We start from the raw sequence: 25,497 nt of genomic DNA, 5'->3' as shown, positions 1-25,497 counted from the left end.
ATAAATAAATAATAAATAAAAGACAAAAGAAAAAATGAAAATCTAGCTGCCTATCCAAATTTCTTTCATTAAAAATCTTTTTAAAATTCCACAAACTTTAAAAAGCAAAATCATTTCACAAATGCTTCCTAGCTCTTGGATTTAAATTTTATTGTCATTTATTTTCCTTTAATATTTTTCCACAAAGTTAAAGTAATTAACTTGAGAAAAAATGCTATCTCTAAACTTTAGAAAGAATGTGGCTAACATTTAAAAACATGTACAGGAAGACTAAGTTGTCGTTGTAACAGTTGGCCCTTGAACATGTCGGGAAATTTCTGTTTATTTACCCCTCCATGGTATGTCAAATGCCTTCTCTCAAAGAAGCAAAGGAAATGTGCTTCTTTGTATCTATCTCATATTTTATTGCAGGAAGATCATTATCCCATAGCCCAAGTTAAAAAAAAAAAATAAGAAAAAGAGAGGTTGAATAGAAGAAGAAAAGAAAGAGAGAAATAATATTTATTGAACGACAGATATACGCATTTACTATGCATTTTATCTGTATACTTTCATCTTTATTTCAACCTAGTGATATATTTATTTTCACCATCGTACAAATAATCAAAGTAAGGGTGAGAGGATATTGAATAATTGGCCCACTTACGCTTAGTCGGCTGCACCCCATACTTACTAATGTGAAACCAATATGATCTCAGGAACAATCCTAGCTATAACGATGTAAAATTGTTAGATACTATTACTTATCTCTCACAAAAGTATTTGAATTATCTGTAGATATGACATGTCAGAAACTTTGAAGAATAGAGTTTTAGGTAAATGCAAATTAAACCACCATGAAATACCACAACCATACCGCATAAGAATGGTTACAGTGAAAAGAATTGACAATTCCAAGTGTTGATAAGCATGTGGGGCAACTGGAATGCTCTTACGTTTCTAATAGGAGTATAAATTTGCACAACTTCCGTGTGTTTTGGCAATATCTACTCTATTTAAACACATATTCTCCCTCTGACTTAGCAACTGCACTTAGCAGTATAATATAATATATATTATTATATTATCTATTATAGTATTATAAATAACTATTAGTTAAAAGAAAACAACACAAATGTCCATTGCACTCCAGGGTATAACCATGAAAAATGAGCATAGTGGCCCACCAATGTACATGTGGAATGTTGTTTTCTGCTTTTAACTATTATAAATAATTTTATAATAGCATTATTATTATATATTATAGTATACATAATATACTATATATAATACCAGATGTTACTATATTATTATAGTATTACCATATATCATATATTATACTATATTATCTGTACTATATGTAATATACTATAAATTTTAATATAGCATATAATACTATCTTATAGTGTAATATGCTATAATATATTATAAATAATATAATATATATTATATTAATACATATTAAAATACATATTTTTATTTGTATTTTTTCTTTCTTTAACTATAATTATTTAAAATACTATTATAAATAATTATATGATTTATAATATAAATAATAATTATAAAAATTATTAATATAAAAAGTATTTTATATATTATATATGATAGTTATATATCATGTTGTATATATTATTTTATATAATTTATTATAATATATATAATATATAATTAATACATATTATATACATATTAATATATGTTAGATATTTTAAATATATGTTTTATAATGTAATTATTTATACTATCATAAATTTATAATATTACCTATAAATATACATATAAATACATAATGATTTATAATGCTATTATAAATAATTGTATGTATAATTATTTTCATAGTATATGAAATTATATATTTATAATATATATTATTATATTATCTATTATAGTATTATAAATAACTATTAGTTGAAAGCAGAAAACAACACAAATGTCCATGAACTATAAAATGAATAAACTGTGGTTTATTTATGTAATAAGATATGACATAGCATGAAAAAGAATGTACCACTGCTATGCACAATATAAAATAATCTCATAGATTTCACTTCAGTTGAAAAAAGCTAGACACAAAAGAGTATATAATATACTATTTAATTTATATGAAGTTCAAAAACAGGCAAGGCTGGTCTATGATAATATAGTTTAGTATAGTTATTAGCTTTGGGGAAAAGTTTTGACTGATAGGAGAGTTAAGCTTTCTGGGGAACTAAAATATTCTGTATGTTCTGGATGCTGGATGTGACACACACACACACACACACACACACATATATATATATATATATATATATATATATATATATATATACACACACACACACACACATTATATATATCAAAATTATCCATCTGAACTGTTTAAGGTCTGTAGACTTAACTGTTGATAAGTTATATCTCAATGTAGACATAAAAGTGAAATAAAATAAAGTCTCTCTTAAACTTTAAATCCTCATCTATTCATGTTAAAATCAATATAAAGCATTGATTAGCATGCATGGGGTGTTGGAGAAAAAAGCCACAAAATATTTCTTTAGGTCAGCCAATAAGTAATAAAATTAATTTAAATCAATTGATGTTAAAAGTAAAAATGTTCAGTAACGTAACCTTAACATCAAGAATTTTGGAGAAAAATCTTTTAAAACTGTCAATTATATTAGCATGTGCTATATGCCCATTACCCAAGATTATCATAGAAAAATTATATCTCCTAAAATACATTTGGCTGTTTTTTTCTCCTTCCAGGTCTCTTTCAGAGGTAGAAATATAGACTGATTTTTACAATACTAGAGAAAATTATTTTATACCACTGGAGTCTCCTATCATAAAGGAATATGTCCCAAGAAACAAATATGTTATGCCTTGAAACAGTAACATTAAATGACATGTTCATGGATTAAAGAAACGAATCTTGATTTTTAAAATATCTAGTTGCTTCCACAGTGGTGGTCATGTATTTGTAAGTTCTGGTTTCTCTTCTTTCATTTCTTCATACTTTTCTATCTTATTATTGACTGTGTTGCTAGAAACACAACCCTTTGAACTAACTCAGTTGCCAGGAGTCAGAAAAGTTTTTTGACCGCGAAAATACAAGTTTTGTTTTGGAATGAACATCTTTTAACCTATCTCATTGTGCATTTTATATAATCCTAGAAACTGTTCATGTAAAATGGCCACTGTTTTGAGGTTTCGGCTGCACTTAAAAGACAAATATCCAGTATTATTAACAAACTCCTCATAAAATGCATGTTTCATCTCTATGATATCACTTCAAGAACTGCTTGCTCTCTGGGTTACTTACCCACAGATGTGAATAATTCTTGCTACAACATTCTTGTTACTTTTTGAGCTCATCTAAAATGTCATAAATTACCTAAATCTTGGAAGAATCTTCTCGAAGATTCCCGAGTTAATCAGGTACCTCTAAGACAGTCCCTCTGAGAAAGCATGAAAGGCAGATGAGCATACCGATCACAAAGTTGGCCCTGGAGGATGACTGTCCATACTGCTGCTCAATGTACTTTGGTTTGTACGTCACCATGCCGAACAGAGAATTGAACTGAACAGTGCTTGTACATAAATATAGGAAGTATACTGGGTTTCCAAAAAGATTCTTCAGTGATGGAAGAAAATCTGTAAAACAAAAATAACATAGACTAATTAAAGTTGGTGTCACGCATGGAAGAAGAAGTAGCCGTGCTGGCAGGACTTACAGGGCTGGGGCCCATTGTCACACAGTTTGGGAGTAGTCACAGTGTGGTACACACATACACTATGTATATAGTAAGCCACTGGCATGCGTCAAGCCTGCGATCTGGCCAGGTTCGAATCCAGACATAGGCACTCATTTCTACAGACATGCAGTATAGATTATATTAAAGGTAGGAGTCAGACAAGAACAGATTCCTCTAACTGATGTGGGCAAAAGACGAAAAGGATGAGAATACTCCCTCATCATCTAGCTGGGAGCCACAGGCAGGACATAAAGACCTTCACTTTTCTTGTCTCTATTCCTCAAACTTAGCTTGTGGTCAAAGAGAAAGAAATATGAGAGTTATCTCCATTTAATATATGAATTTTAGTGTTAGAAATGAGCATTGGTGTTCTCCCTTTTTCCTATTATGTAGCCTACCAATTAGACATGTGAAGAATTTCTATAAATGTAAATATTGCTTGAAGGGACAAGAAGAGGGGGACCAATATCATGAGGGGCTGCTCATTTCCATGAAGGGGGTTCATTAGAACACTGGGTTTTTGCCTACAGAACACTCACCCCTTTGATCATTGGTGAGAGACATGCATTGATACACATCTCTCAAATGAATAGATCTTATCTGTTGAAAGGCTGCCAACCTTGAAGATTAAGCCTTTTATTTCCTGTATACACAGAATTACAGGAAGCAGCAATCCTGGGTAGAGACAATGGTAGGATCTAAACTGAGGAGGTGTGAGAGGGTGGAGACATCAGCAGGAATGGCTGTCAAGCCTTTGCTCTTTGGTCGTGTACTGCAATCAGTTGTTCAGTAATAAAGCTGACATCAATTTCCATTTTTGCTTCTGATATGGTTTCTCAACTTTTTAATACACGAAGGGAAGAGAGGGATGTAATTTATAAATCTCCTTAAGCCCCAACAGAAAAATGAAAATACTTCAAAATCAAGAATTTGACTTACCTCTTGCCATTTCCATTATTTTTGCATTTTCTCCCTGGGGTGTTTGGTAGTCTGTGTGATCATCTATAATAAACTTGGATTTCTCAGAGGAAGAATTAGAATCCTCTCTACTTTGGGATCTTGGTAAACTCTTTGGTAAATACCAGAAAGGCACAGCTGCAAGAAGACTTATGATTCCTGCTATTAGATAGCCAAGCCACCAGGCTCCTACCCACTGGGGATCTTTTGGGGTAATGGTTATGTGATCTGAAAGACAGAGGGGATGGCTAAGTAATACAAACAGCAAAGCTAATATGTTAAAATAATATACTTAAAAATAAATTCTTGCAAAACTCTATAACATCATAAAATACCTAATAATTCATCTATGCTATTTTTTTTTTTATCTGGATCTTACCACAGGCATACCTTGGAGATTTTGCAGGTTCAGCTCCAGACCACCACAATGAAGTGAATTTCACAATACAGAATCACATCAATTTTTTTGTTTCCCAGGGCATACAAAAGTTATGTTTAACTATACTGTAGTCTATTAAGTATGCAACAGCATTATGTCTGAAAATGTACATACCTTCATTTAAAAAAAAAGTTATTGCTTAAAAAATGCTAATAATCATCTGAGCCTTCAGTGAATAGTGATCTTTTTGCTGGTACAGGATCCCATCTCAATGTTGATGGCTGCTGACTGATCAGGGCAGTGGTTGTTGGAGGTTGAAATGACTGTGGCAATGTATGAACATAAGAAAATGATGAAGCTTGCCACATAGATCAGCTCTTTCCTTCATGAAAGTTTTCTCTGTAGTATGCAATGCTATTTGACAGCATTTTTACCCACAGTAAAACTTCTTTCAAAATTGGAGTCAATCTTCTCAAGCCCTGACACTGCTTTATCAACTAAGTTTATGTAATTTACTAAATCTTTTGTTGTCATTTCAGTAATGTTCACAGCATCTTCATCAGGAGTAGGTTCCATCTCAAGAAGCCATTCACTTTGTTCATCCACAAGAAGCAACCCTTCATCTGTTTAAGCTTTTTTTTTTTTTTTTTTTTTTGAGATGGAGTTTCACTCTTGTTGCCCAGGCTGGAGTGCAATGGCGCGATCTCGGCCCACCACAACCTCCGCCTCCCGGGTTCAAGCGATTCTCCTGCCTTAGCCTCCCTAGTAGCTGGGATTACAGGCATGTGCCACCACGCCCGGCTAATTTTGTATTTTTAGTAGAGACAGGGTTTCTCCATGCTGCTCAGGCCAGTCTCGAACTCCTGACCTCAGGTGATCTGCCCGCCTTGGCCTCCCAAAGTGCTGGGATTACAGGCATGAGCCACCGCGCCCAGCCTGTTCAAGCTTTATCATGAGATTGCAGCAATTCAGTCGCATCTTCAAGCTTCATTTCTAATTATAGTTGTCTTGCTGTTTCTACCACATATGCACTTACTTTCTCCACTAAAGTGTTCAACACCTCAAAGTCATCCAGGAGGGCTGAAATCAATTTCTTTCACACTCTTGCTAATGTGGATATTTTGACCTCCTCCTATGAATTGCAAATGCTCTTAATGGCATCTAAAATGGGGAATCCTTTCCAGAAGGTTTTAAATTTACTTTGTCTAGATTAGAAATCACTAGAAATCATTAGAAATCACTACTGATCATAGCTATAGCTTTGTGAAATACGTTTCTTAAATAATAAGACTTGAAAGTCAAAATTACTCCTTGATCCATGGGGTATAAAATGGACGGTATGTTAGCAGGCATGAAAACATTTATCTCTTTGTACATCTCTATCAGAGTTCTTGGGTGACTAGGTGCATTGCCAATGAGCAGTAATATTTTGAAAGGAATATATATATATTTTTTTTCCTGAGCAGCAGATCCTAACAGTGGGCTTCAAATAGTTAGTAAACCATGCTGCAAAAAGATGTGCTGTCATTCAGCATATCTCTATTGTTCTAGTTAGAGAGCACAGGAAGAGCCTATGTGTAGGAATTTCAGAATGTTAAATGAGCATTGGCTTCAACTTAAAGTCACCAGTGGCCTTAGCCCCTAACAAGAGAGTCACCCTGTCCTTTGAAGCTTTAAAGTCAGGATTGACTTCTCCTCTATGGCTGTGAAGGTCCTAGATGGCATCTTCTTCCAATAGAAGACTATTTCATCTACGATGAAAATCTGTTGTTTAGCATAGCCACTTTCATCAATAATCCTAGTTAAATATTCTGGATAACTTTCTGCAGCTTCTCCACCGGCACTGGCTGCTTCACCTTGCACTTTTGTGTTATGGAGACAGCTTCTTTCCTAAAACCTCATGAACCTGTTTGCGCCAGCTTCAAACTTTTCTTCTGCAGCTTCCTCATCTCTTTCAGCCTTTATAGAATTAATGAGGGTTAGGCCTTGTTCTGAATTAGGTTTTGGCTTAAGGAAATGTTGTGGCTGGTTTAATCTTCTCTCCAGACTACTAAAACTTTATCTCAATAAGGCTATTTCACTTTCTTATCTTTCATGTGTTTACTGGAGTATCACTTTTATAAATTCCTGCCAGAATTTACATTCACAACTTGGGTAACTGTTTGGTGCAAGAGGCCTAGATTTTTGCCTGTCTTGGCATTCAACATGCCTTCCTCATTAAGCCTAATCTTTTCTAGCTTTCCTTTTAAAGTGAGAGATGTGCAACTCTTCCTTTCACTTAAACACCTAGAGGTCATTGTAGGGTTACTAATTGGCCTAATTTCAATATTATTGTGTCTCAGGGAATCGGGAAGTCCAAAAAGAGAGACAGGGGAATGGCCAGTCAGTGGAGCAGTCAGAACACATGCAACATTTATCAATTAAATTTGCTGTCTTATATGGGCACAATTGTGGTGCCCCAAAACAATTACAATACTAACATCAAATATCACACATCACAGATCTCCATAATGGGTAAGCTAATAATAATAATAATAATAATAATAATAATAGTAAAAGCTTGCGATATTAGGAGAATTACCAAAATGTGACACGGAGACCCAAAGTGAACACATGCTATCGGAAAAATAGTGCCTATAGACTTGCTCAACACAGAGTTGCCACAGACCTTAAATTTAAAAAATATATAGTATCTGCAAAATGCAATGAAGTAAAGCACAATAAAACAAGCTATGTCTGTATTTTCTCTGTTATTAAAGGAAAGAGAGTGCATTTTGGAGCAAGATACTTTCTTTTGTTCATTAGAGTAAAAATATAGTCTAAATTCCGGAATAGGCTTCATGATTTTCAAACTGTGCTCTCAGGTTCTGTAAGAGACCCCTGGTAAGAGGAAGGCAACCCATGGGGAGAATTTTGAAGGCTCAAAACCTCATGTGGCGACTCCTCTATATCAGCACCACTTTCGTTTGATTTACATATTGAATGTCTGTGTGAGATTTTACTTGAAGAGTTATGCTCTGCACCCTCCAGTCCAAACCCGTTGGAAACCTCTCATTATGATACTAAATTCGAGACTCATTCAAATCAGCAGAATATTTTTTATTAAATGATGGTTAACAATACTTCAGAGCTATTCTAGATATGAAGCAAGATTTGTATGTGTAAGCAAAATTTTAGTTATCTTATTCGTCATAAAAAGTTTGTTTTTGAAATCATTTCTCATTTGACTAAAAAGTAAGTATTGACAGGTTTTTGAATCAAACCAAGTGGGTGTTGTTTTCTTCCTAGGCAAGAACCTAGAAAACATTTCATTTTATTCTACCATAACACACTGTGAGAATGAAATAAACACATGGCCCTTGACAAGTAGGCTCAACTGCCACTGCATTATACTGGGTAAAATGCTTATACTAGGTTATTGCTGCATGTTAATTGCTTCCCCTTAACAATTTTCCTCTGTACTGCTCATCGCATCTATACTTTCTTGTCTCTAAAATCCATCAGTGGATTTTAAGCTTTTTGAAGTCAAGGAACTCAACTGATTTGTTCAGAACTGTAGAATAGCACCTGGCATAAAGTAAATGCAAAATAATTGGATGGGAACTAATGAATGAATAAATAACATTTTTGAAGCTTCACTTGTAGTTTATTTGATTTAAATGCAAGAATTTTGCTTTCTGTTTTAACATGCGGACTTCAAAATGCAATTCCATGTTTGTTGTTTAAGTGACGCTTGTTTAGTTTATAACGGATCTCTTGGAATTCTTTAAAAAAATACTGACAAATGCCATCTATTTCCAAAGGGTGCATCTCCCAGAGATAGAAACAAGTTATTAGCTATGGAAAAATCAGTGTCCCCTTTGCCATTTATTTCCTACACAAGCAACGTCCCAGAAGAAAAGCCAGTCTTCCTCGATAATGTGCTGTAACATGCTTCCACCTAAAAATGACTTGCAGAGTAAAAAAAAAAAAAAAAAAAAAAAAAAAAAAAAAAAAAAAAAAAAGAAGGGCTGTTTGGTTGCCAGTAGACTTTAAATCCTTGGTCTTTCTGTCAAGTCCCCAAATACATTATCAATTGATGTAACTATAAAAAATGTTGACACACCTGAAGCCAATAAGAGCCAACAAGTAGCTACAGTTTTCAGTCTTAACTATGCTGGAATGCATTTAAACTGACAAATCAAAAGTGAAAAAAGATAGATCTTAATAACAAACCATTGGTCATCCAGTTCTAATTATCACCTATTTTTCATATTCCATTTATTAATCTGTATAACTATATTAATAATAAAATTTTTAGTTTATGAAAGATTACAACTCCATCATTTTATAAAAAGGCAATTTGATAATTTCCACACTGTTCCCATTAAAAATGTTACAGTGACTAAAATACATGAATAAATAAAAAATAAACTTCCTTACCTAGGTTTACAAAGCCAATGTCAACATATAGTTTGGCACATAATGAGCCTAACAGGAAACCAAAGATTGGTCCTATAATTGCAACCGTCTGCACACACCCTGCACCAAGAAAAGAAAAGGAAAAAAAAAAAGCTGTCATTTCTTTACTTTGATAAATTAATACAATTTTAAACAAGAAATGTGTGATCCAGTCAGTAGCTCAAAATGTTTTAACTCATTTGCATGTGTTTAGTTAACTTTAAAACCACATCAAATCAGGAAATAAGTCCTTCACTGCTTTGGGAGAAAAATGAACAATTTTAAGGCATTAAATATGTCTTAGTAAGAAAATAACATTAATACTCTGAGGAAATTAATTTTCCAAAATGGAAAAAACTTTTATTTCCTAGGATTAGATTCCTCATTGATAAAAATTAGAATTGTATTAATTTTGATAGTTTGTCAAAAACATTTTACGTTCAGTTAAGCATAAGACTTGTTTTGACATTCAAATGGATTTCTACCACCTTAGAAAAAAAGTGTGTCCATTCATTTCAAGGTTCTGTGGTATCATTAGTGAGACCAGGACCTGTAAAGATCCCCAGATGCAGCTAGCAAAGGTGCTAGGATTTGGAGCAGGAAAAGTTATCTCTGGAACCCTCTTGACCATTCAGGCCAACCTTCATAGCCAGGTGGAACAGATGGCCTAAAGGACACCATTTCTAATAACCAGAAAGGTAGTTCTTCCCTTCCAAATATCTCCAATCTGTTTTTCATTTCACCACAAAGCTTAAAACACACATATTCATGGGAGATTAAGTTAACTGGAAGAGTAAACAGCAGTTACCAGATACTTTTTGGAACAGAGGAAAAGAGAACAAGCCCTGAGCTCCTAGAGAAGAAGGGCACACCTAAGCACCTGTATGCTTCTCCTGGCTGTGACCTTTCCTCCAGTCTCTAGAGTAATTGCCTAGTGCAGGTGATGAAGTGTTTGTTGCAGTTCCAGTTCCTGATTTTACTGAAGTTTTCTGTTAGAGTAAGAGCTGTGATCTTAACTATAGCCTATTCAGGTGTAACCAGCACCCCCTGGAGTCCTGCAGAGCATAGCCAAGGCAAGATTATACAGTGGACCTAGCTGTAGCGCCCCTCAATGAATTTAAATCTTGCCTTTCTGTCCCTGAACGTGAGGCCTTTAAAAGATTAGAATTTCAAGAAATCGAGACTGATGTATGTCAACACCATAGGAAAGGGTAAAATAACAGTTAAAAAAGGAGAGACTGACGTGTATTTCTAGCTTAATATTAAGACATCAGAGGAAACCAATAAATGCTGTTTAGATGTGTCTTACCTTAGGACTTTGCCTCTGCTATATTATTTTGGTTTTTCAGATTTTTAGCTGCTGGTCTATTTACTGGGATGTGTTCCAGAGATGAGGTAGCCTCAGGCCTTGCTTTTATTTTTTATATACTTTTCTTTATCCATTTCTACCTGCTTTTGAGATCTCAAGATTTCTTGTTGCCTATCCCTCATAGCTTTAAATAATCAGGGCTTATCAAATGGAAAGCGCTTATCAAGGCTTATCAAATGGAAAGCTAGGGCTCAAGGAACAAACTTTTAAATAAACTAAAATGCCTAAGTGCTTTAGCTGTACAGTTAACCCACTAAAAAGAACCTATGAAATCTGAAGCCCATGAAGATACTTTCACAAGGTCATACGTCATTGCAGCTAAGCTCGCAGTTATTTTCTTTTAATCTGATGTTCCTTTTCTAATGCAATAGATCCCTCTAACTATGGTGTCTTCATCATCCAAATCTGAACTGTGCACTTCAGAAATGTGTGAGCTAAATAAAGGAGTTGGATATGAAGTATAAAAAGCTTCCCCACTTAATTTAGCATAGAGGGGAATTCAGAAAACTAGACACCCTGCTTCCCAAGAAGATAAGTGAAGCAATATGCCAATATTACCAATATAGAAAGCTGCATTGTCTTCACTGGCAAAATCATCCAGGTAGGCAATGCCCAAAGGCTGAATGGGAGTTTCTCCTATTCCACGAAGAAGATTGCCCAGGAAAACATAAATCCACATGGAAGAGCTAGTGTCCACTTCACATTCTTGAAAGAAAGGCAAACCAGAGGATTGAAAATAGATCACTTTAAAAGTTAAGTATTTATTCTGCATTTCTACCGTATATCTTAAACTGAACTAGAATGCAGGAGTTTTTGTGCAATAGTCTTAATTTGATGGGAGTTTGGTCAAGTTCTAAAAATGTTTTATACCTTCAACCTTTTAGGCAGAGTAAATCCCCAAGAGACTTCACCAAGGAACTTTATTGCTTCTTGTTCCTGATCCCTTTACTTTTTATTCTCTCTCTTCTTCTCATTTCATTCCTACCTTGAGCTATTTGAGTTCCCACACTACAATGACATTCAGTATCTATCTGGGGCAAAACAGAAAATTTTGAACAAAGTCTTTCTCACCTTAATTTTTAGTTCTTTTGAACAAGTCTTTCTCACCTTAATTTTTAGTTCTATTTTTCAGCAGAAATCATAAGTAATCTTATTGTTGACCCAGTTTTATCTGAAATTCAAATTTTTATATGGTTGATATTCCAACATTTGGGCAGTATTGCCTACATTTATATTTGTTTGTTAGTGAATAACCATTTTTAGGACTCTGGAAACAAATTTACATAAAAATTATAAATCCCTATACTTTAGCAGTATAGTTATTCCAACAAAAGAAATCATTTGACAGCATTTTTAGAGTAAAATTCAAGGCTAACCATTTTTAAATGCTTTCATAAAATTCATGTCTTAATATGATCATGTGCACTAGGATAATTACCCCCATATCATAAATGAAACATAGCTTTGAAGGTTTAGGTGCTTTAATAAAATTGATAATGTTAACAACCTCCAACAATCATCACTGCTGAATGTTCTTTCTCTGCTACGTGCTGAACTAAGTGCTTTGCAGGCATTTTTAAATTGAATCTTCCTAACAATCCTATGAGGTAGGAGTTATCTTTACCTGTTAATAACTCTTAAACTAATTTTTGATTGTGAAGAATAGATTATGTGAAGAACTAAGGTGAACACCTTTGGGCAAGTGAATCAGACTGCATAACTAACAGAAAAGACTCCTTTGCACTCACGTGGATTCTATCTGACTCTGCCTCTTCTAGAAAAGTTTAAATGACCATGGAATTTTCACTTGTCTTCTCTGGATTTCTATTCTGCTTCCAAAAATATGATATGAATTCCTTTTCTAAAAATTAACTCTAATGTGCATTCTAGCCCTAGCAATTGTATAATTTTAAGAAGCTTGTTGGTAGGCGAGTCTTCTTGTAGAGAAGTGTAGGCACCTTAGGTCTGTGCTTTTTAATTCAATAACCATAAGCCACATGTGACTATTAAAATTGAAATTAAATAAAATTAAAATTCACTTTCTCTGTCACACTAACTATATTTCAAATACCCAATAGTCACATGCAGCTAGGGGCTACTGTATTGGACAGCAAAGATATAAGACATTCCGATCATCACAGATAGTTCTGTGGACAGCTCTGCTGTAGATTGTTGCAGGGGAGATGAGGATTCTATGTGGAGTGGTTTTGAGAAGATCCTTATCAGCTTTAGGATGAGTCTTGTGTCCACTATGTCTAACGAAACAGACTTTAAGGGAACAGGAGCTCACCTGAAGGAAGGGAAATAATTGAGTTATGAGTCATTCTCTGTATCTGTCTGCTAACTTCTCCCTTTATTAAACACATTTTAATTACTGAGTCTAAGCCCTATGTTTCACCTTTCACCTTTTTACATTACAGGTTTAAATATTTCCTAACTAGTTGTGCTGTCAAAAGAAAACATCTGGCCGGGCGCGGTGGCTCACGCCTGTAATCCCAGCACTTTGGGAGGCCGAGGCGGGCGGATCACGAGGTCAGGAGATCGAGACCATCCTGGCTAACAAGGTGAAACCCCGTCTCTACTAAAAATACAAAAAATTAGCCGGGCGTGGTAGCGGGCGCCTGTAGTCCCAGCTACTCGGGAGGCTGAGGCAGGAGAATGGCGTGAACCCGGGAGGCGGAGCTTGCAGTGAGCCGAGATCGCGCCACTGCACTCCAGCCTGGGCGACAGAGCGAGACTCCGTCTCAAAAAAAAAAAAAAGAAAACATCTTCCCTGGCCGTACATTGTATACAGATGAAACTACAAGCCATTCAGTCAGTTTCCTGCCTCCTTATTTGAACCTAAATCATATTTATTATCTGTTATATTTTTACATAAACAAGGCTGCTGTTCTTGTCCATTGATTTGAATGCATCCTCCTGAACATATCTATTACCCCCTTTCATATTCTCCTCTTTGTCTAGAATGAGTTCCTTCTTTTGCTACAGCAGGAGAGGGTAAACTTTTTACATTTCTGTGCTTTCCTCTTCCTTCCCCTTCCACATTTCCATATGTTTTTAGTCCTTTGGCCCCTCCCTTCATTCAAACAGCCGGGGTTCATTGCCTGGAAAAAAAGACATCTCAACAGAATGTACTAATGAGAATATTAGAGGAGTGAAAAGGTCTTGTGGAATAGATAAGAGATTTGGATGGATGGCAGGTATATATTAATTTTAGAAAGGCTTCCATTCTGCCTGTATACAATGTGGTTCCTCCGGTTAGGAGTAGGGGTTGAAATTGGTAGGTGGCAGGGAAGGAGTGTGGAGCATATTGATGCTGAAGGGAAGCTGAAGGGAGAAGAGGGGATTTGCTCTCCCTGCCTGTACTGCGTCCTAGAGACACAGTAAACACCTATGGACAAATTCATGGCTACTCTGAGTAAGGAAAATCTGTGTTACCTCGGCCAAGTGAAGCCCAGGCAGGAGGCAAGACTCTACTTCAGTCTAGCTCAGCATTCCTGCCTTTGACTCATAGGACTTCCAGTGTCTACAGTGATATAGAAGAGAATATTCCCATATTGCCAAGGGTGTCTCAGACAAAGCATTGCTGTGTCATATGCATCAGCCATCTAGAACACTAGACACTTTGATAAAATTCCTGCATCCTTGCTCAGGTGAAAAATAGAGTTATTTCCATGTATCTAAGATGGCCACTTCTGTACTGGAGAGAGCTGCTGTGAGAAAAAAAAGTATGAACATGGACATAAGATAGCCCCATGCTGACAAGTATGACCAAACAGTGTGACCACGGGGGTTTTAGATATGTAAGCTGGCAGGGAACTGATAACACCAAGAGCTCCCACCATAGCTGCCCATTTTACTCTTATGTAAGCTCCCTAGAATGTAAACAAACCCTGGGGACAAAAAGGGAGGTTGCGGACAAATTGAGATTACATTTTTGCCATTCTGACAAAAAGTAGCTGAACACAGAAATTAAGTTGACTTACGGGAAAAATTATACTTCTTTCATATCTGAGCAATGGATTGAGAGTTGTATGTGCTAAACTAGTTTCACCCTGCTTTCAAAACCCACTTATTCAGAAGCTTTGAAAGATTTTCCCAGGAACTATCAATTAATGCTTTTTTTCCATAAGATTTGATCATCTGGTATATTTTCTTAGGATCTAATCATATACTGCTTTATATTCTAGGAATTTTTATGGTACTGTGATATCTCAATTTAAGTAGTAAAGCTTTTGGGAGCAAAAATCATAGACACTTTTGTCCATCCTAAAGCACATATAAAGTCTTTTTTTTAAAAGCTTGTTTAGTCAAGTCAAAAAAATGATCTTACCGTTACTTATTTTGGATTTTGATTTTTCCATAACTGAAACTGGTAATTGACTGCTTGACTCTAGGAGACACGGAGAGATGCTGAGAGTGGAATTGGAGGAAGGAGAATATCTCTCATATTTGTACCTGCATAAGAGGAATGTTTTCTTCATGATAGACTCATTAACATCATACTAAGAATATTATGTGTATGCTACACGAATCGTTAGGGTACCAGGTTGAGCTTGCAGCTGTCTCTGAACCTAATTCACCAAATCAAGCCAGTGTTTAACAGCAGATTTTGCTGAAGAGGTAGCCAGAAGATCTGGCTCATAGACTCTACACAAAGCTTGTCCTACCCACGGTCTGTGGGTTGCATGTGGCCCAAGATGGCCTTGAATGCAGCCCAACACAAATTCATAAACTTTCTAAAAACATAATGAATTTCTTTTTGCAATTTTTTTTAGCTCATCAACTGTTGTTAGTGTATTTTATGTGTGGCCCAAGACAATTCTTCTTCTTCCAATGTGGCCCAGGGAACCCAAAATTTGGACACTCCTGCTTTACACGTACCTGGGCCAGTCAATTAATGACAGAAAATAAAAGTAAAAAGTACCCATAGAGGCTCATCTTAAAGCAAACTAGTGACTATAAATCACCTCCCCCCAGGTGAAAAAGTATTCAACTTGATAAAATCATGATTTTTTCTGAGTCAGAGAAAGAGCCATAATTGAACAATGTATTGCCATCAGAATACTTTATTTAGAGTTGTAAATTTAGTAGAATTACAAGGCTGATTCTGGAGAATGGAAAATGACATATGGATTTTGTACCATTTATCCTGATAAGATTCTGCTTTTTCCCTACTGCTTACTAGCATAGCACCAAGTTACTTCTAATTCCACCCTTTCCCCTGTGTATAAGGTTATGATAGCAACTGGGATAAAGAGCCATTGCTTAGTGGGCAGCCTGTGATAATGCTAATCTACAATCCCCCGGCTCTACTCTTGCACTCAAATTATCCTTCATATGCCACGTTCTCCACACTCTTTGTACCCCTTGGGGAAGAGGTATCTGGTAAGAAAACATCTCAATATCATCTTGATTCTCATTTTATTCAGGCACTATTTGGCCAAAGGCTAGTAATCACAGGAATATGCATTGGCATGCATATTAATAGTAAAGAACTCCCAGCTACTTGGGAGGCTGAGGCAGGAGAATGGCGTGAACCCGGGAGGCGGAGCTTGCAGTGAGCCAAGATCGCGCCATTGCACTCCAGCCTGGGCGACAGAGCGAGACTCCATCTCAAAAAAAAAAAAAAAAAAAAAAAAAGAAAAGTAGAGAACTGTTTATTCAGCATGGTAAGGAAAAGATGTATTGCATTACTGAAATATTCAAGTTGATAAACAGGTTACCTTAAATCTGTTTTGTGCAATCTGCACCTCAATGGGTTCATGAACCCCACTGAAAAAGTAAGAACATTTTTGTATGTATGTTTTTATGTGAATGCTTAAGAGAAGAGGGTTACAGGTTTTATAATTTTATCAAAGGGTTCCTTGACCATAGTAGGTTAAGAATCACTTAATGAGGTTAACTGTTTTCAATTCTTTTTTTTTTTTTTTTTTTTTTTTTTTTTTTTTTTTTTGAGACGGAGTCTCGCTCTGTCGCCCAGGTCGGACTGCGGACTGCAGTGGCGCAATCTCGGCTCACTGCAAGCTCCGCTTCCCGGGTTCACGCCATTCTCCTGCCTCAGCCTCCCGAGTAGCTGGGACTACAGGCGCCCGCCACCGCGCCCGGCTAATTTTTTGTATTTTTAGTAGAGACGGGGTTTCACCTTGTTAGCCAGGATGGTCTCGATCTCCTGACCTCATGATCCACCCGCCTCGGCCTCCCAAAGTGCTGGGATTACAGGCGTGAGCCACCGCGCCCGGCCTGTTTTCAATTCTTAACTACACATGAGAACATTTAGCATTGAAATCATGGTAAATATAATTTTATATTGTTAATAATTACAGAGAAACCATTGACTGTTATGATGCTTCAAGACTATTGAAGTAAGTATGGATGGTGATCATGGAGTATTTTGAAAATTTTTCATTATTTTAACTCAGTTCCTTCTGTCAACAGGTTACTGTTGCAAGCATCATAATTATTTTGATTTCAAATAACTGGCAGCTTATCTAAGAGCCACTTTTGTTACTAATTGCTATCTGTGATACTCTAAAAAAATTAACGTTTAGGTTTTAATTAACTGAGTTGTAAAATGAGAGCTATGGATGTGGTCTGTACCTATTGAGACTCTGTTGGAGAAGAGACAAAAGTGTAATTATTTAAATCGGGGACTAATATTATAAATGCTTTTATATTAGGGGTTTTAATTCTGACCCGCATTCAAATCCTGACTGATGCACTCTTGACTTTGATGTATGAAATTTTGCAGTAGCCTCCTAAATAGTCTCCCTGCTTCCAAGCTTTCCCACCAGAATCAATTCTCCAAGCAGCAGTCAGTGTAATCCATTAAAAATATAAGTAAGATCATGTCACTCTGCTTAAAGCTTTCTAAAAACTTCGCATCTCATTCAGAGGACAAACTAAATTCTTGTAATTGTCCTAACTTTATGACTCAAAGGATGGTCTGCAGACCAGCAACATCAGCTGAATCTCAGAACCAACCCCAGGGCCACTGAATCACAATCTGTAGTTTACTAAGAGCCTCGGGTGATTCAAATGCCCATCAAAGTGAGAAACAACGTTGACATATTCTCTCATTCCCTTTTACTTCTCAGCATTCATCTTCTGTGCTTTCTCCGTGGTCATTGCATTTTAGCCACACAGGCCTCCTTGCAGGTCATCCATGCACCAGACTTCCTCCTGCTGAAGAAACTTTGCCTTCACTGTTCACTTAGGCTAGAAGTCTTCTTTCCCAGATATCCACATGACTGTCCTCTTTACTATTATCAGGTCTTCTTCAAATGTCACCAACTATGTGAGCCATACGTTGACTACCCTACTTGATACTGCAACCACCCCCAACCCACCACACATACTCCTTATGTGTCTTTACTGGGTTATTTTTCTCTATAGTTCTTACCATTCTCTGACATACTGTATTTATCTGTTTATTTTCTGTCTCCTCCTCAGAAGATCTGTGAGGGCAGAGATTATTTTGTCACTACTCTTTCTTTACTGCCTAGAAAAATTATATATATATACATATATCACAAATATATATACACTTGCTAAATTAATGAGTTAAATGAGCTAATACATAAAACTAAACAGCCTATTAGGAATAGGCCCTCAATAGTTGCTATCCATGATTAATAGCTTTTGTCGGACATTAAGGATATTTCTGCAAAGGAGACAGAGCATAGTTATCTCTTAGAGAACGAAAATCATATTTTGGATAAGTACCCAATTAGTTACTAATGTTGTGTAAAGGTGGAAAGAAACTAGAGTGATAATCCTCAGTAGAGAGCAAGCTTCATGAAGGAAGAATTGTGTGTGTTTTTGTTCTATTTTGTTTTCTCGCAGAAATAGCTCCTTTACCTGGCATTGTACCTGGCAAATATATTAAATAATAAATAAACAAATATATCCTCTACCATGTCAAAAGTGTTGGATAAGAATCTGTCTCTGTCCCTTTGATATCCTTTGTCAACACTAGCCTGTCTGGTTGTCCGACCTTCTTTTTAATACATTTTTTTTTCTCTGATTTTCTTATACGGGTATTCGATATTTGTCACTAACTTAAAGTAATAAAATTATTCATCTGTATACAGCAGCTTTAAGACAAAACCATTGCTGGTTAAAACCAGGTGGCTTAATTAGCTAAAAGGATTGATAACACACAACAATGATGACATAGCTACTAGTTAGGTTGGTAACCTTGATAAGCATTTTACCTGTGTTATCTCACTTAATATTTGCAATGGCATTATCAGCTAGGAATTATTTTTAATACCTGTTTTAAGATGCAGAAACTGAGACCTAGAAAAATTAAGTAGTGTAGCCATTGTCACATAGAAGAGCTACTGATCCACTGCAGAGTGATTTAAGTCTGGTGTAATGGATTTATCTATCCTATGTGACTACTTTCACATTTTTAATTTTTTCAGTAGTGGAACTGCTTTTCCCCCTGAGCAAACTGTCACATGGAAGCTCAATGAATCAACAGATAACAGCAACACAACTAAAGATCAAGCAGGGAGTAGGCAGGTTGGAGACCCATTTTCTCATTCTTCTCCTTCCCATTCTTTCTACAGGCTGAACATACATAACATTTTTGTAGAATCTCAATGATCAAGGAAACTTCTGACCTATGAAAGGATGTTGTCCAAAGAGCAGGCAGAAGTGCCCAAACCACAGAACTCCCTCCAAGTAGAAATTTAGGGTCCTGGGAATTCATCCAAATGGGCAGAAAAGCTCCCACTCAGAGAATTCTGAGCCCTACCTTGATAGATTGGCCAGGGAGGTCAAAAATCTGACTGTACTTACATAAGTGGTCTAGAAATTCAAGAAAAAGTTCAGACTAGATCATTTCTAAGTCTCTCCAGCTCTAAACTGTCCTGATACAATGATCTAGAGTGGACAATAAAGTATCACTTGAAATATAATCTTCTAAAATATTCTCTTACTCCAAAACCTTTTGGTAGTCATTTCTTTTATCAGCAATAGATAAACACAGAGAAGGGCAGTGACATGGATATGTATGAAAACTGCTGCCTGAGAAGTCAGCTGACCTGTTTTAGGTTCTGATTCCATAATTACAAGACACCTAAATTTACAAAAGTCATCAAACTTTTCAAGTCATGGGGTCCTGTCCTTAGCTCTAAAGTAAAAAAGATAAACTATGTTCTTCTACCCCACAGGTTGCTATAAGGGTAAAAATGACATAGGTAAAAATCTTTGGAACTACTAAAGTCATGTGCATGTATTAACAAAAGTACCAAAAGTAGACTTTAGGGTTAGAGGATACAGACACCCTGCTTCCATTGATAAAGGTCTAAGAGATACTGTATGGACATTGAATACTTGTTTGAGTTGATAATATATCCCTGAGTTAATTGTCTAGCAGCCAGTGTTCCATAATCCAGAATTTATTGTCTGCAGTGTTTATTAATTACCTATTTGACATTTACCATGTTAATTTATTTTCAATTATATATTTTGCCCCTACAGCTAAATTAAAGCATTTGACTCAAAACATGTAGGTAAAATCTTTCTTTAATCTTGTTGATATCAATATACAGTAATCTATCAATTTTTTACAGTTTATTGTCAGAAGAAAAATTATAAAATTGTTGTGAAATTTTATCCAAAGAGAATGTAATAAAAGTAAGACAAAGTTATCATGGGTTAAGCTTAAATTTGCATAATTAATAATCATCATAAAAGGGAGAAATGCAGTTGTTTGGAAAGGCAAGGAAAAGATGATTGCTTTAGACTTACTGCTCCATGAAGAACTGAGGCATTGCAATGAGCAGTGTTCCAACTCCCATGATTACACACCCTGCTCCAATTATTTTTGGCCTGTGAAGTTTGGCTCCAAAGTAGCTAACAAATGTTATAACTAAGAGATTCCCTTTGAGGAAAAGAATAAAACATCATAAATTAGAGAACTTAGAAAGAAGTCAACAGCATAACTGAATGAATGTATACAGCAGACCAAGCAATGTTTTCTTTTAACTAAGCCATCTCTGCATCATTTAATTTTTTTCCTTTAATCTGAGATGACCCTTGAAATTCTCATGTTCATTACTTCAATCACCTTATCCCTTTATCGAAATATTTTAATTCAATCCTTCTACCTCACTTCACCCAACCTAATTATTTGTCCTTGTAAAATATTTTATCAGTAAGTCAAATTCTAGAAGGCTCCCTTTAGCTTCCCTCTCAAATATTTTTTAGTAAATTTGAAGTAAACTTCTTATTTTTTCTTTATTCATTAAAATTTATGTGAAAACTTCTATTAGTGTTCTAATTGCTCATGGACTACACATTACAAATTATTTAGCTGATATCTTTTATAGAAAAATTAAACACAACTGTACTTTAAATGAAATAAAATGATGAAACACATGTACACAAATGATACTTTATGATTTGTTAATAAACTTTGTACAAAAAGATTAAGACTCAAAATAGAAATAAAAATTATTCCACATAGGCGACTTCAGGTGTACATCAATTATATAACCTCAACATATGCCTATAAAGCAAATTTTATGAAATACAAAATCTCTATAAAATGTGCCCATTTATCTCTTTTGTGAAAAATGGTTTAAAAATATTGGGTTTTTTTGAAAGTAGAAATTATGGTTTTCTAAAATGTCTCTAATGAAGCATGTGACACGTTACTTTTAGTTGATGATGGTGATAAGTGATTAAACATGTTTCAAGTAATATTTCTCACGCTTTGCTGTGCGTAAAAATACTGACAGGAAACGGTTAAGGAAATGAAAACTTGTTAAAAATGCGATTCTTGGCAAGTACCAAACGTTTCTGATTCCATGGATCTGAGGTCAGGCCAAGAAATCTGCATTTGTAATACTAACTCAAGTGTGTTGATGGAGATGATTCCTAGAACATGCTTTGATAAACATTGTTTAGGGTTTTAGACTTCAAGGGGCTTTAAAGCTTTAGCTATATTTATTTGAGATATTTAGTTTTTAAGATGTACCATGCTAAATACAGTAAGATCTTAACAATTTCCCAGCAATTGATTGTGATGGCTAATGGGTGGCCTTGCTTTGAAGTTCTCCTCATTTCCAATTTTTGAGCAAAGCATGTTTCCCTACATCTGTAAGCAATCATCTAATTTACTACTGTTCACGCACATTGCCAGCTTTAGTAAACTGGAAATAAAGCAGTAATTTTTGTGGGCTTGAGGATAATAAGAATGATAGTGAGAAACATGACTTGCACAGTGGTCCTAGTCTTTATGGCTCCAAGAAGAATTAAGCTCTTCTTAATGTTCATATTAAAAAACGAATAATTTAGCACAAGATGTCTCATTTGAAATTTAAGTATTTAGTAGAAGACATTGTGTATCATATTATTTTGATAATTCTATCTATATGTTTGTTAATGTACCACAATAAACGAACCAACATAAAATGAAAGTTGACATTCACTTTATAGGTAATTCTCTCCTATTCTCGCCTACACTCCACCAATACCACACAATAAACACTTCTGTTTACAAGCTATTTCTGTGTTACGTTAATGGGCATGTCATATACAAGACAATATGAGTTCAGTACCTGTAATACAGATATATATATATATCTATATACCATATATATACTGTATCTATCAAAGTTTTTGCTTCCTTAGTATCCTTTCTGAGTTGTCAGGAGATACATTTGAAATATAAATGATGATACAAAATCTTTAAAAAATGAAATTGGATATAAAAATTATTCCATATCTACCATCATTAGCCTCTCACAAAAAAACAGGTACAGAAAGTTTTAGAAATATGTCTTACCAAACTTTAAAGTAACATATTCTTGCTCTCCTCTCTTTTTCTGTCTGTCTATGCACACACACACACACACACACACACACACACAGACACACTCGAGATAACAGAAAAAAAAGAAAGCTACTCAATTCATCTTGTAAGACTACTATTTTCTTAAAACCAAAACTGGACAAGGACAATATAAGAAAAGACAATTAGAGCCCAAACTTGATTATGAAGATAGATGTAAAAATCCTAAACAAATTATTAGCAAACGGAATAGTATATACAAATAAAAATATCCCAACCAAGCGCAGTTCATTATAGTAGTACAAGAGTACCACCAACTAACAATAAATTATTAATTAAATCCCTATATAACAAATGGAAGGGGAATAATTCCATGGTTAACTTAATAGACACTGTAAAAGTACTAAATAAAATTAACCATTGATTTATGTTAGGAAAAAACAAATCTGAGCAAACCAGCTTTTAAAGTGTATCTATCAAAACCACAAAGCAAGCATATTGCTTAATACTAAAATTTTAAAAGTATTTGCATCAAGGTCAAACACAAGAGAAAGATGTCCATTGTAAATGCTTCTCTTCAACACAGTTCTGAGGCTAATGTAATAAGGTAATATCAACAACAACAACAAAAATCTAAGAGTTGCAAAGAAAGATACGAAATTATATTTTGTTTTAGACAATTTGTCCACAAAACTCTACAGTTTCCATGGAAAATCAATTAAAACTAATAGAATTTCAACAAAGTTGCCACATACAAATAACATAAAGACGGAGGATGATATTTGTTCTAGAATCTTGAAAAGAAGGAATGCAAAAAGAGGCAAAAGAAGTAAATTAAGATTATGTTCAGCGAAGTCATTTGTCTGGAAATTTATGTAACTCAAATAATTAGGGCAAACCTGTGATGTTTGGGATAAAGGTTTTCAATGGAAGTAAGAGAACTTTTAAGCCATTTTAAGGCATCCAATCCAATAAATAATTTATATACCTAGAATGGTCTGGAAGAATTAATGTGAATTTGGAGTCATGGTTTTCTGCTACTTCCTGTGAAAACTTAGTATACTCTCTCTATCAAATATAAACTTTGTCTCTCAAGTTGCATCAGGACCTGGGAGCCCAAACAAAACTTTGGACCAAATCATTTCTATGCCTCTTCAGCTCTAAAATATTTTTATATAATAATCTAGAGTGAGAAAAACATCAAAACATCATGATATATAATGTTTTGCCTGCTCATATCTGCTCTATTCTTTTATCTGCACCAGTTACCTCTTTCTCCTTGTTTTTCTCTCATGATATAATGTATCACCCTTTACCTTGATTCTCTTTGGCCCTTCACTCAGTGCAGGGCCATCAGTAGAACAGGGCTCAAGGAATAAATCAACCATCCGGGCCAATCTAAGCAAATTACATAAAAGATTGATGTGATCAGATGTTTTGGAAACCTGCTACACAAAATGTGATCTACTGACTAGAAGCATCAGTATCATTTAGGAGCTTATTAGAAATGCAGAATTTTATCCTGTTCCTACCAATTCAGGTTTTAAAAAAAGATTTTTAAAAGATTGCCCAGTTATTTGTGTGGACATTAAAATTTGGCACTAAGAAATGTCATTCTGGAAGGATGACAAAAGATGAATTTGGGAAGCAAATGCCTGAAGGCAAAAGGTTACTTATTCATTTTATTTTTTCTGTGATATTCAGAGTAAGAACCAAAACACATAGTATGTATGAAAAGAAATAAATTGTTAAAGAGTTGAAAAATATTTATTCACTTTTCTGAAAGTTCACCAGGTAAAGCTAAAATTGGAGCAGTTAGAGGTTTTACTATGGTGTATATCTGAATCTAAACAAGCCTTAAGGACCAGAGAGGGTACTATTTCGTTTACTTCAGCAAAAAATTAAAGCCTTTTAGTTTATCAATTCAGGAAGCAGACTAACTAGGATTATCCTCTTTAAATTACTTCTAAAACAGTGACTCAAATTACTCGATCTTTTTAATTTCTAAGGAGTCTGTAGTCAATTGCTAACCAAAGGCACCTGAGATTTGAATTTTTATTGCCTGCTCTGATCTTGTGTTCTTGGTAATAGAATCCCTTTATTCTTCTTTCTAGACCACTGGGTGGAAAAATCCCTTTTATGATGTAACTTCTATTCATCATTGCAGTAAATTCTTGTAGAGCGCATTTGGATTATTCCACACCTCTAAAATTGAATCATAGTGCTCCCAGGGTGTATTGTTCTTCTGTAAAGATACTTCTACATATTTATAACTCAAAATACCAATTAGCATCTCACCCTTTCCTCCAAGAAAGTCACTTACTCTGATGTAGAACTCTGAATTGTGTGAACCATACAATACCAAACACCTGGGGAGAAAAATTTACTGTTGATTGCTCTGAGAAAATTGCCTCTCCTGTAGAATAAGATCATGGTAAATTCTGTCCAAAAAAAAAAAAAAAGATTTTATGAATAGAGTCTGATCCCAGCAGACAATAGAATGCAGAAGGTGTTCTTTAGCCACACCTAGAAGATCTTGGGCTTAAAATTAAAGTCAGGCATCTGTAATACCTACCAATTTCAAAACTACCATCAATAACTCCCACCAGTGAAGAAGGGATATCAAACCTTCTCTCTATCTGAGTGATGGTGCTCTTCAGATAGCCTTCTGCCAATGCTTTGGCAAAGTAAACAAAAGACAAGGCACACAAGAACACCTGGAAAATATGACAGGTCACACTTAGTCTGACTCCAGCTTGACACACAATTGGAAACTAAGTAAATAGACAAACAAATACAAAACAAACAACAAAGAACAATGTATAATATC

At 35.1% G+C, this 25,497-nt stretch overlaps 1 protein-coding gene across 4 annotated transcripts in view, besides 1 other annotated feature; it reads right to left on the bottom strand.

The window, feature by feature from the left end:
* SLCO1C1 (solute carrier organic anion transporter family member 1C1) overlaps positions 1 to 25,497 on the bottom strand; it is a 58,055-nt gene that overhangs the window by 26,685 nt on the left and 5,873 nt on the right. For 2 of the 4 annotated variants that reach the window (NM_017435.5, NM_001145946.2), the window contains 7 exons: positions 25,243 to 25,384; positions 20,621 to 20,753; positions 15,192 to 15,316; positions 11,417 to 11,563; positions 9,472 to 9,570; positions 4,653 to 4,898; positions 3,448 to 3,612 (listed from right to left, as the gene is read on the bottom strand). In NM_017435.5, the coding sequence (NP_059131.1) occupies positions 3,448 to 3,612; positions 4,653 to 4,898; positions 9,472 to 9,570; positions 11,417 to 11,563; positions 15,192 to 15,316; positions 20,621 to 20,753; positions 25,243 to 25,384 (1,057 nt within the window). The remainder of the gene's footprint in view (positions 1 to 3,447; positions 3,613 to 4,652; positions 4,899 to 9,471; positions 9,571 to 11,416; positions 11,564 to 15,191; positions 15,317 to 20,620; positions 20,754 to 25,242; positions 25,385 to 25,497) is intronic. The other 2 variants (NM_001145944.2, NM_001145945.2) reach the window with 2 other exon arrangements.
* Positions 4,273 to 4,567: a silencer, noted in NCBI's record as "tiled region #7088; HepG2 Repressive non-DNase unmatched - State 24:Quies". NCBI's record gives its function as "represses a minimal TATA promoter and a strong SV40 promoter by Sharpr-MPRA in HepG2 cells {active_cell/tissue: HepG2}" and the evidence as "EXISTENCE:reporter gene assay evidence [ECO:0000049][PMID:27701403]".

Source organism: Homo sapiens, chromosome 12, assembly GCF_000001405.40.
Source record: "Homo sapiens chromosome 12, GRCh38.p14 Primary Assembly".
Classification (NCBI taxonomy): domain Eukaryota; kingdom Metazoa; phylum Chordata; class Mammalia; order Primates; family Hominidae; genus Homo; species Homo sapiens.
The sequence above is the reverse complement of the archived record's forward strand: the minus strand, read 5'-3'. Positions and strand labels throughout refer to the sequence as shown.